Below are 13,118 nucleotides of genomic sequence, written 5' to 3'. Positions count from 1 at the left end.
GTAGTTTTCCTGATGTGCTATTAATAAGGAAGAAGGTGAGAAGAAGAGTGGTGAAGATAAGAAAATATCAAACAACTATTTTAGAACAAGTCTGAGTCCCTTCTTTAAATTTGTTGTGTTGTAGTTTTTAAATGCAGTCTATGAAGTCAGTCATTAAATTAAATGTGATCAAATATGAATCTTTTATAACAATTTTATTATCCCCTTAGATTTTATATTTATTGTTTTTGCTGTTGTTTGTTTAGGCAGTTATCAAGAATTTAAGAAAAGAATTTTATCTTTTAAAAGTGAAATTATAATTTTTCACAATGTTAGTATATGAGCAGAAAAGAACATGTGCAACACTATATTAAAAAAGAAGAGTATGAATTAGAAAAATATTCCTAATTTGCAGAGGTAAATCTTTTACTCTTTCTAGTCCCAAAGTCCAAATTCTTCCTCTAAATCTTTGTTTACGCCGGGGACTTTGCCTAACATAATCTCTGTTTTTTAATTTAAAAAATGAGAATTCTTGTACTATACAATCCTAATATTTCTTTTTAGTGTTAATATTTTATTTTTAATATCATTTAAGTTGTTATAGAATCTGACTATGAAGTCAGAGGATTAAATACCATGAGGTCATAGAGAAACAATGAGTTACATGGTGCAAATACCAAAACCACAAAGGAGCTGATACATTAATTTTTTTCATATTTTGGCTAGAATTATAATTTAAAGAGAGATCCAAATTACATTAATTTATTTAAATTTTCTTGTATCAATTTTGAAATATGTTAGCATAGCAAATAAAATAATACCTTATTATATAACTTATGTGCAGTTAATTTGCTCCTAAATTTCCCTTATGTTAATTGATCTTTTCTGGGGAAAGAAGACATCACCAGTTGGGCATATTTCCATGGTTATTTTTTTCTAAGGCAAAAATTTTATCTTGTGTAGTTTGAATATCTCTCACTCCTAATATCCCATAGAGGCAATGGTTTACTGGAATATTTATTACAGGAAGGAAAAAGGACATAAAAATTCTTGTCGAAATCTTCCTTTTCTGAATTTAAACAATTTCTAGTTACCAGGACTAGAAGTGCTATATAATCTACTTCCAAATGTCAACTACTCAGGACATAATTGGAAAGATCATATATCTAATTCAATGTTCAGTTACATTTTATTTGGACTTTGTAGTGCACAATGTGATGTGTCAGCAATTGCTTTTCAGGAATGAAGCACTTAGTTCCCTAAACTCTGAGAGTGCTACTGGAAGATAGTCTGTTGTGATTCACCCTTATTGGGAATTTTCTTGACTGAAGAAAACTACCTCATCCAAAGCAACAATCCCTTCCATGGATAGCCTGCATCCAACAGCTCATCAATGGAAAGATATAAATGCTTGCCTCCCTCACTCCAACTCAGCATGATTCTGAAGAACCATTCTCATTCAAATGCTTACCAAGAATTCAACTGGGGCCTTTATTGAGATTGTGACAGAGCTCAACCCTCCGCCCAATCCAGCTTTCCTCCCTTCTCTTACACAGGTATTTATCCTAAGTGTACTCCTTAACTAATATGCTATGTGCTAATAGCCATCTTTGTGTGTGTGTGTGTGTAATGTTTTTATTAAAAGTAAATCTTGATTTCATATTTTGAAAGTCATCTCAATTTTTTAACTTTTTTATTTTTTATTTTTTAATGTCTTATTTTTTATTTAAATAGTTTTTTAGGGGAACAGGTGGTGTTTGGTAACATGAATAAGCTCTTTAGTGGCGATTTCTGAGATTTTGGTGCACCCATCACCCAAGCAGTGTACGCTGTACCCAATGTGTAGTCTTTTATCCCTTGCCACCCCTGACCCTTTCCCCTGAGTCCCCAAAGTCCAAGTACCATTCTTATGCCTTTGCATTCTCATAGCTTAGCTCCCATGTGTGAGTGAGAACATACAATGTTTGGTTTTCCATTCCTGAGTTACTTCATTTAGAATAATAGTCTCCAATTCCATCCAGGTTGCTGCAAATGCCATTGTTTTGTTCCTTTTTATGGCTGAGTAGTATTCCATGGTGTGTGTGTGTGTGTGTATGTATGTGTGTGTGTGTATATATATATGTGTGTGTATATATGTGTGTGTGTGTGTATATGTATATATCACATTTTCTTTATCCACTCATTGATTGATGAGCATTTGGGCTGGTTTCATATTTTTACAATTGTGAATTGTGCTGCTATAAACATGCATGTGCAAGTATCGTTTTCTTATAATGACTTCTCTTCCTCTGGGTAGATACCTAGTAGTGGGATTCCTGGATCAAACAGTAGATCTACCTTTAGTTCTTTAAGGAATCTGCACACTGTTTTTCATAGTGGTTGTACTAGTTTACATTCCCACCAACAGTGTAAAATTGTTCTCTTTTTACCACATCCACACCATTCTTTTTTGATTTTTCGATTATGGTCATTCTTTCAGGAGTGAGGTGGTATTGCATTGTGGTTTTAATTTGCATTTATCTGATAATTAGTGATGTTGAGTATTTTTCTATATGCTTATTGGCCATTTGTATATTCATGTCCTTAGCCCACTTTTTATGGGATTTTTTTTTCTTGCTGATTTGTTTGATTTATTTGTAGATTCTGGATATTATTTCTTTGTTGGATGTATAGGTTGTGAAGATTTTCTCCCACTCTATGGGTTGTCTGTTAACTCTGCTGATTATTTCTTTTACTGTGCAGAAGCTTTTTAGTTTAATTAAGTCCCATCTATTTATCTTTGTTTTTGTTGCATTTACTTTTTAGTTCTTGGTCATGAAGTGTTTGCCTAAGCCAATAACTAGAAGGGTTTTTCTGATATTATCTTCTAAAATTTTTATGGTTTTGGGTCTTAGATTTAAGTCCTTAATCCATCTGGAGTTGACTTTTGTATAAGGTGTGAGATGGGGGGCCAGTTCCATTCTCCTTAGATTGTCTGTTTGTGCTTTTTCAGGCTTTTTGATGTAGGCATTTACTGCTATGAACTTTCATCTCAGCACTGCTTTTGCTGTATCCCAGAGGTTCTGATAGGTTTTGTCACTATTATTGTTCAGTTCAAAGAATTTTAAAATTTCCATCTTGATTTTATTGTTCATCCAACGATCATTCAGGAGCAGGTTATTTACTTTTCATGTATTTGCACGGTTTTGAGGGGTCCTTTTGGAGTTGAATACAAGTGGTGAAAGTTCACATCCTTGTCTTGTTCCAGTTTTCAGGGGAAATGCTATTTTACTCCACTGAGGTCAGAGAGAGAACGTGATAAAATTTCGATTTTCTTAAACTTACTGAGACTTGTTTTGTGGCCAATCACATGGTCTATCTTGGAGAAAGTTCCATGTGCTGATGAACAGAATGTATATTCTGCAGTTGTTGGGTAGAATGCTCTGTAAATATCTATTAAGTCCATTTGTTGCAGAGTATAGTTTAAGTCCATTTTTCCTTTGTTGACTTTCTGTCTTGATGACCTGTCTAGTGCTGTTAGTGGAGTATTAGAAACCCCCATTATTATTGTGTTGCCATCTGTCTCATTTCTTAGGTCTAGTAGTAATTGTTTTATACATTTGGAAGCTCAAGTATTAGGTGCATATATATGTAGAATTGTGATATTTTCCTGTTGAACTAGTCTTTTTGTCATTATATAATGTCCCTCTTTGTCTTATTTAACTGATGTTGCTTTAAAGTTTGTTTTGTCTGATATAAGAATAGCTACTCCTGCTTGCTTTTGGTATCCATTTGCATGGAATATCTTCTTCCCCCACTCTACCTTAAGTTTATGTGAGTCTTTGTGTGTTAGGTGAGTCTCCTGAAGACAGCAGAAACTTGGTTTTTGAATTCTTATCCATTCTGCTATTCTGTATCTTTTAAGTGGAGCATTTAGGCCACTTACATTCAATGTTAGTATTGAGATGTGAGGCACTATTCTATTCATCATACTATTTGTTGCCTGAATATCTGTTTTTTTTTTCATTGTGTTATTGTTATATAAGTCCTGTGACACTTATGCTTTAAGGGAGTTCTATTTTGGTGTATTTTGAGGATTTGTTTCAAGATTTAGAGGTACTTTTAGCAGTTCTTGTAGTGCTGGCTTGATAGTGGTGAATTCTCTCAGCATTTATTTGTCTGGAAAAGATTGTATATTTCCTTCATTTATGAAGCCTGGTTTCACTGGATGCAAAATAGTTGGCTGAAAATTGTTTTGTTTAAGGAGGCTAAAAATAGGACCCCAATCCCTCCTAGCTTGTAGGGTTTCTGTTGAGAAATCTGCTGTTCATCTGATAGGTTTTCCTTTATAAGTTACCAGGTGCTTTTGCCTCACAGCTCTTAAGATTCTTTCCTTTGTCTTGACTTTTGATAACCTGATGACTACGTGCCTAGGCAATGATCTTTATGTGATGAATTTCCCAGGTGTTCTTTGAGCTTCTTGTATCTGGATGTCTAGATCTTTAGCAAAGTCAGGGAAGTTTTCCTCAATTATTCCCTCAAATATGTTTTCCAAAGTTTTAAATTTCTCTTCTTCCTTGGAAACTCCAATTATTCTTAGGTTTGGACATTTAACATAGACCCAGACTTCCTGGAGGCTGTGTTCATTTAAAAAAAAATTCTTTTTTTTTTGTCTTTGATGATTTGGGTTAATTTGAAAGCCTTGTGTTCAAACTATGAGGTTCTTTTCTTTTGCTTGTTTGATTCTATTACTGAGACTTTTCAGTGCAGTTTACACTTCTCTAAGTGTGTCCTTGGTTTCCAGAAGTTGTGATATTTTAAATTTATGCTATCTATCTCACTGAATAATTTTTCTTTCATATCCTATATCATGATTTTATTTCTTTAAGTTGGACTTCACCTTTCTCTGGTGCCTCCTCGATTAGCTTAATAATCAACTTTTTGAATTCTTTTTCTGGCAATTCAGATATTTCATCTTGGTTTGGCTCCATTGCTGGTGTCTGATATGATCGTTTGGGGATGTTAAAAAACTTTGATGTGTCATATTACCAGAATTGTTTTTCTAGTTCCTTCTCATTTGGGTAGACTCTGTTAGAGGGAAGATCTGGGAGTCAAAGGCTGCTGTTCAGATTCTTTCATCCCATGGGGTGTTCCCTTGATGTGGTGTTCTCCCCTTTCTCCTAGGAATGGGGCTTCCTGACAGCCTAACTATGGTGATTGTTTTTGCTTTTCTGGATCTAGCCACCCAGTGGATCTACTGGGCTCTGGGGCTGGTAATGGGGAGTATCTGCAAAGAATCCTGTGATATGATCCATCTTCAGGTCTTGTGGCCATGGATACCAGCACCTGCCTTGGTGAAGTTAGCAGGGGAGTGAAGTGGACTCTGTAAGCATCCTTGGTTGTGTTTTTGTTTAGTGCACTGGTTTTGTGTTGGTTGGCCTCTAGCCAGGAGGTGGCACTTTCAAGAATTCATTGGCTGTGGTCCTATAGGGAGAATGCAAACTTGCCCTAGAGATATCTGTTTAAATGTGCAGGTTTCTCAGGTGATGGGCAGGGCTATAAAGCTCCCAAGAGATTATGACCTTTGTTTTTGGCTAACAGGGTGGGTAAAGAAAGACCATCAGGTGGAGGCAGGAATAGGCTTGTCTGAGCTTAGCCTCTCTTTGGGCAGGGCTTGCTGATACAGTTGCTGTTGGGGATGGTGGTGTCGTTCCCAGTCCAAGGGAGTTATGTTCCTAAAGGGATTATGGCTGCCTCTTCTGAGTCATAGAGGTCACCAGGGAAGTGGGGGAAAGCTGGCAGTCATAGGCCTCATCCTACTCCCACACAGCCTACAGTCCTAAAGGCCAGTCTCACTCCCACTGTGTCTCCCCAACAGCACCAAGTCTATTTCCAGGCAGCCAGTGATCAGGGCTGAGAACTTACCCCAGATCATGAGCCTCCCTATTGAGAATGCAAACACACTCACTGTTTTTTGGCATCTCAGGGAGCCTGCAGTGGTGATCCAGTTCCTTCAAAGGGTCTGTGAATTCTCTCAGCTTTCCTGGCATGTTCCTTCAGTAGTTCTTGTAGCAAAAGTTCACAATGTGAGTCTCCACATGCTGCTCTGTCTGACCAAGAAGGAACTGCAAGCTAGTCCAGCCTCCTATCTGCCATCTCAATCCCCTCTTACTATCCATTTTAATGTCTGTTCTTGGCAAACTCTACCTATGACAGGTGATGGTCCATGGTAAGAAAGTATAACAAAGCAGATACTAAGATTTTGGAGCTTGACCTATTATTCATACAGGAAGAACAAATAATCACCTGGGACAAAGCAGCAGTGCAGTTGTTCACCAGGGTGAACTGAGATGCTCTATCAATGGAGGAGTATGCATTAGTTGGTAGATATATCAGATATTTGATAAATGTGAATAAAGTAGTACCTATGAAGACAATGAAATTAAATTGATATTGCCAAACTCAGTTGAAGTTCTGGGAAAAGATAACAAAAAGTTGAGAGTCATTAATTAACAATTAAATTTTAGTGTGAAAGCAGAGGGTCTTGTTGGCAGCATACAAAAAGGCTTGGGTATCCTGTACTAAAAAATAGAAAATGCTGAGGCCCAGGCCCAGTTTTTTATTCTTAGTAGCCAAATTCCAAAAAAAGTTTAAAAGTTACAGCCAAGGTTAGTTGGCTATGCTATACTTGAGAGTCCTGTTTGGGAAATAATGGAAAATCTGGTACATGGGATAAGGAATCTGTGTTGACACATATGAAAATATTTAGTCCCCCAAATTTCTCTGGAGTCTGAGCCTACAGAAATGCTATCACTCCCCCCTTAAAGATGCTGCAGGGGCCTTTCTCTTTATAGACAATGTTACATTCCCCACTTCCCCCAGCCTGCCAGTTTGGTATCTTCCCCAACCTCCTCTTCTGTCTGCTAGGCTAATAACTATGGTTTTGTTCTAGTATAATCAAAGATATTCTATGACTGCTAATGGAGAAACGAGGTCTTTCCCTGACTACTCATTGATATGGATTCTGAGGCTGTTGGTCTAAGTTGGGACAGAAAATACATTTAGAACAAATAATACACATGCGCACACACACACACACACACACACACACACACTTCTACACACTTCTTAAATACAGAGTTTAACACCCTGGGATATGGTACACACATCCAGATGGCTTTTGGAAGCATGGAAAAATGATGGCTACATTATGTAAAATGGAAATGCCAGAATTGCCATGACAGATGTTGAAAGAAGGAGTTGAAAGGCCCAGAGAAGTAGGCGATTTAGAGTAGATACGTTTTGTGTGACTATGAATGCCCCCAGAGGACTCTGGTCCACACAATGACCCAAAGGAAGGTGCTGATGGGCGGGCCCCAGCATTAATAAGTTCAGTGGAGGCACTCCTTTCTAAGCCAAGGCTGACAGTAGCATTTGCAGAAATAGACTCATCAATTGCAATAGGGGATGATAACAATTAGAAACAATAAAGGTCAGGTGGCAGGGTGTAACCTTCAGAATACAGGCCAGTGTAGTTACCATGATGAATAGCATGAATAGTAGTTACTATGATGGAGTGGCAGCAACATGAGTCTGACTTTTAAGAGTTTAAGAAGATGATTAAATGCACATGGTGAGAGATTCACTTCAAGCATAACAGGAAGGAGCTACATGGAATCACTCCCCAGTTCCTTGCAGGAACCAGGGAAGAAGAGAAGTCAGCATCTTGCTGTGGGTAATTGATCCTGATCACAGGTGGGGGCAGAGCTGTTGTTACAGTGGGTACAGGAAATAATACTTTTGTCACCTGCATGATCCACTTGGGTACTTCTTAGTACTCCCTTTCCCAGTTTTTAATGTTAATAGACAAGCTCAGCAATACTGCCCTTAGAAAGGTACAGGGACAATGGGCTCAGTCACTTTAGGAATCAGGATCTAGAAGCCTAGAAAGAAAATTTTGTTTAAAAAATTAATAAAACTACCTAGGGAAAGATTATAGCAGATGCATAAAAACTATTTGCCACTTGAAAAAGTTAAATCCACAGAAACCACAAATCCGAAGCAATGGAGACTAGTGAAAAAGGAGGAGTCTTGGATTATTGCTGGAGGCACTCTTTTTTCTTTCCCACCACTGAGTTTTCCTGTCTCTCTGCTTTGTCCCTAGACAACTGGCTTACTTAATCAAGGCCAGATGCTATGCTATTCTAAATGCATGGAAAAAAGATTTACTTCCAAAATTGACCTCTAAAATCTTCTTGTTTTTGAAAGAACATTGAAAAAATAGTTTTGAGTTTTATGCAGGTTTTTTGTATTATTTTAAACCCCTGTGTTCTGCTTACATGGATAACAAAACAACAAATTACCATGTAAGGTGATTGTTCATAATACAACATATGTGAAAAACAATCTCTGTTTCAATTATATATATAACATTCTATTTTTCTAACAGGACACTGAGGTTCTCAGTTTAGTGGCTTGTTGGGGTTGAGCACTCCCTCATTCCCAAGAGTAGTTAAGATTATGGCAAACAGCCTATCTTTGATGCCAGAGAAAGGTTGATTGAAAAAGGATACATGACTGGAGTCAGGTCAGTTAGAGTTGTCCACACAATTTCATTCTTTGGCCAAGAGATCAGGGAAATGAACTCTTGTTTTCCAAAGGCTTTTAAAAGAGGAAACATGAGCCCCATGAAAGCCTCACCTGAGAATGAAACCAGCACCAAGATGACAAAGCTGAAGCCCATTTGAACTTTGAATAGTCTCATCTAAATCTGGCCTTGAATTGCTCATGTCCCTGAGTCAATAAATTTTGGGTTTGTTTGTGCTTAATTTACCATGGGTAGAGTTTTCTGTTATTTACAACTCATAGTATCTTAACTTATATATCCTTAAGGAGTACTGCCATAAAACACAGACAATCACAGCAACTTAAGTGCACAAGGAGAGAAATTTGGAAAGGCCCCTTCTATATTGCTTTTCAGGACCCAGGATCCTGGAATGTCTTGCCAAAACAGCCTCAATCCTGCTTCAAGGTCCTATGTAGCCTTCTTCCACAGATCTCTCCTCTCAAGACCTGATAGCACTACTGGTGTGTATTAGCTCAAGTTGTGAGAGGGGTTTGCTAAGAGATGCTTATTGAAAGGATGTGCAGGTTAGGATATCCCTGTGTATATAAGACCCCTCCCAGTTCTAGATGGAGTATGGCACCACATGGATTGGAAGAGAAGGAGGCGAGCTTTGAGTTCCCACACGTATTTCTACTATTAGATTGCTGCAAAAGTATTTGTGGTTTCTGTAATTACTTTCAAGGGCAAAAACCGCAATTACTTTTGCACCAACCAATATATGCACCCTGCCATTCACTTTTCTTACAGTTATGTTTTTCTCATTGTTCTTCATAGCACTAAATTCTTGATGCAGAAAGCCACAGAAACATCTAGATCATGCCAATATGTATTGTATTTATGATTTTTCAGACTCATTTGGTTCCTCAATGCTGCTTAACAAACATTCTTCCTAGTTTATTCCACAGCAGTAAATCTTCAAACACTCTGTACCATCTGTTCCTTATTCTTGGCAGATAACCCAACTCCCATTTTCAGAGCAAATAGAGAAAATTTAGCTTGATTTCCTTTCTTGCCATGCTTATTATATCTTACTCATTATTTTTACTTTCTACCTCAAAGATTAGGAAATTTAGAAGCATCATTAAGAGCACGGGCTTTGATGTTACATAGATTCAGGTTTGATTCCTGGTTCAGATATTTGTTATTTGCGTGATTTTTGACAGATTATTCAATTTTTAAAGTAACTCTCCTCCTATATATCATAAAGCTAACAATAATAATAATCATGAGATTATTAGTGAATTTGAAGAGAAAATACATTAAAGGTTGACAACAGAATGCTTGCACGTGCAAAATGTTTAACAGCTATTAACTTTATTAAGTGTTAAGCTTTTAACTATAATGCAAGAAAAAATTCTAAGGGAAACTTCTATATGTATGTTCTGAATTAGAATCACTACTTAGAGCCACCATTAGACCTGAGTAGGTTGCTGCACTAGAACCTATGCCTCAGGCTGCCTATGCTTCTGAGTGCCTTATTCTTGGGATCATCTAGAATTGGCAGTGCCATCTGGGTGGGATTTCCTGAGCCCAGATCTGGTCATGCATGGGTCTGATTGTTGGATGTACTAAATGTGAAATGTTCTAAGTCTCTCTCGAGTGGCTTGGACCGGCCAGGGCCTACGGTACAGTCTGGGCAGGGTACACCAAGCCTGGACCAGCTTTCCAATTTCTCCCCTTTGGAACATTCTTTGGCCCTCTGTCTCACTTATGGGGTTGACAAAATATACCAGTGGACACCAAGACTCATGCCTATAATCCAGGAGGTGTCCTGCTTGGCAAATTTCTTCCACTAGCTGGTGAAGAATTTCTTTCATGAGATAATGCAAGATTGGTGTACAAGAATGGTGATTTGAGGTGACTCTCAATTATCTTGGACATAAGATTTGTTCAGACCTCTGGGCTCCAGTAGTTCATTTTCTGATTTTTAAGCTTGAGCTGTGTCGGGAGGTCTGTAAGTTCGTTCTCACCCATATTTATTCCCACTGCAGTACTGCCTCTTGTCTACAGCACTCGAGAGGTGGTGGCTGGAATTCTTTACCATGTGCATCCCCTATCTCTGGCACCTAGGATGGTCACGTTGTCTCCTCCACAGTCCTCTGGGGTAGCTAGCTGCACCTATCTCTTCCAGGGGCTTTTGAGATCAGTCTTCTGCAATGCCAGTGGACTCTTGTTGATGTCCTATCTTGTCTCTAATGTGTGTAGTTATATTGTGCTCTCCTGATTCACTCTCTTAAGATGTACTGTGAAGGATAGATATTCCCTGTGCAAATCAGGCTTCTTTTCCCAATTTGCTCATGAACCCCTCATCTATCCTCTTTGCTGGTGATAGTGTGTGAAAGTCAGAGGTGCAGTCAACAATGAAAGAGATAACAAACACAGAATTTACAGCCAAAAGATTTCAAGAGTAGAGATGAATGGAAGAGATGTTGTTCAGTAGTTATACTATAAACTTCTGAATGATGAATTTACTTAATTAGAAAACTAATTATTACTCACATTTCAGTATACCCTAGGTAAAACTTACATGTGTGGTCATCATCAAAGATTCAGAGTCACAACTTTTGAAATAATTAACAGACACCAATATTTATAGGTGGCACAATGATTAATGTAGTACCATGAGCAAAGATCATTAAAATATGGTATTAGGGAACAAAAGAGGCAAGAAATCTCTATTATTTCAATATAAAATGTTTGGAAGAACCATGGCATTATAAGTAGCAACAGCATTGCTGTCTTTCTTTTTATTATGGGAGATATTAAATGAGCTGTAAATGGTACATTTTATAATAACATATCCATTTTATAATAAAGAGATGGTCTCTAGATAGGAACAGAAAGAGATAGTGCCTGGCTACTATAAAGAATCTTTAAGTTAGCTGACTGGACAATAACTACATATGTAAGTACCTCCTTTCTACTCTTTATTCTACTTCTTCATTGATAAATTATTGTATTCCACATGGGCCCTTGAGTTTTATAATACATTTTAAATCAAATTGTTTTTGCAAACATGGTCCCCTCAAAAACTATTTGTTATAGCTACCACACATCTCAGGGCTGCTGCTCTTGACTGCACCTAGCCATGCAGGCTACACACCTGCAATTACAGGGGGGCCCGTTCTTATAGACTTTAAAGACGATGGTACCAAATTGTTCAATGGAGACTGATTTCATCTTTTAAGGCCTTCTCTGGCAATCCTGTCCTGTAAGTATTTCCCTTCTGCCTTAGTATTTTTCTTTATCTTTAAAACATTTTTTTCTTAATTCTTGAATCTTCTAAAAGGACACTGCTGTACTTCTCCCTCACCACCACTACACAGTCAGCCTAAAAGGACACTGCTCTACTTCTCCCTCACCACCACTACACAGTCAGCCAAAAAGTCCAACAGTGCAACCTCAGCCACAATTCACAAATCCATCACATTCTGCCCATTTTCTTCACTAAGGACTAGGTTATTTACATTGGCTCCTCCTCTGCAGCTCTCTCTTCCTAATCTCCACTCTTATATAAAGGACGACATTGCCCTCAAATATGCATTGTATTATGTATAGCCAAATTTTCCAGACATCAAGATAAAATTAAAAATTTTCAGTAAAGTACACAGGGCCTTTGACAATCTCATCCAAGCCCTCACTTATTGTTTAATCTCTTAACGTTAACACCACGTATTTGATACATCATTCCTATAATCATCCTCTGAAGAGAAAATAAACCTTAAATATTTTGCTGATCCTTTCTCCCTAGAATGCCTTTGCTCTACATTGTATGTGTGCTCAGGTCCACTCACCTTATAAAATGCAGCTGAGCAAAGCCTTTATCTGTAATGTTTTACTAGGCCTTTCTGGGCAAGTTTGGTAGATCCCTCCATCATGCCTCCTGCTGTTATGTATTTATCACACTACATGTGAAATTACCTGCTTGTGTGTCTGTCATTAGGCTAGACTGTGAGTTCCTTGAAGTGTGAAACTCTGTTTTATTCATATTTGTATTTCCAAAGCATGAGGAATAAGTGTCATTAAATGTATATGGATGAATGAATAAATTCCCTACAATTCTCACATGTATTTTCCTTAATCTTTTTTGTAGAAGTGTTTTCTAGCTGTTTATAATACACTCATAAATAAATGTAGCATAGACATAACTCATTGTTTTCACAAGTACTCAATGAGAAATTATTAAAGTACAATTAACAAAATATATAAAGAAAGTTGAAAGAGGCAAAATGATTGAATATTTTGTAAAATTGTTTAAATTAAATACTTTTTATCCTGGCTATTCCTGCAGGGCTGCTTTCTGTCATTGAACCTTCTTTCTAGATCCCTTCTATAATACTGAGAGAGAGAATTGAGGGAACTGATGCTAGGAAACCCATCAGCAGATGAGAAACCTAAATTTTGAATAAAAATATAATCCAAATGCTAAAGTGAAAAAGTATTAACAACCTATCACAAATCAAGCAAGAAGATAAGGAAGAAATAAGAGCATATGAGTATTAATGTTTAGGGTAAGCAGTGAATTTAGAAACCA

General features: G+C 37.4%; 1 long non-coding RNA gene across 1 annotated transcript in view; it reads left to right on the top strand.

Annotated features, from left to right (window-relative positions):
• Window positions 1-1,164: 1,164 nt before the first annotated feature.
• The window catches only part of LOC107986047 (uncharacterized), a 38,948-nt gene continuing 26,994 nt past the window's right edge, over window positions 1,165-13,118 (top strand). The window contains exon 1 of the long non-coding RNA XR_001740567.1: window positions 1,165-1,535. This is a non-coding gene — a long non-coding RNA (uncharacterized LOC107986047). The remainder of the gene's footprint in view (window positions 1,536-13,118) is intronic.

This window comes from Homo sapiens, chromosome 3 (genome assembly GCF_000001405.40).
Source record: "Homo sapiens chromosome 3, GRCh38.p14 Primary Assembly".
Taxonomy (NCBI): Eukaryota; Metazoa; Chordata; class Mammalia; order Primates; family Hominidae; genus Homo; species Homo sapiens.
Note: the sequence above shows the minus strand (reverse complement) of the source record. Positions and strands in the feature narration are given on the sequence as shown.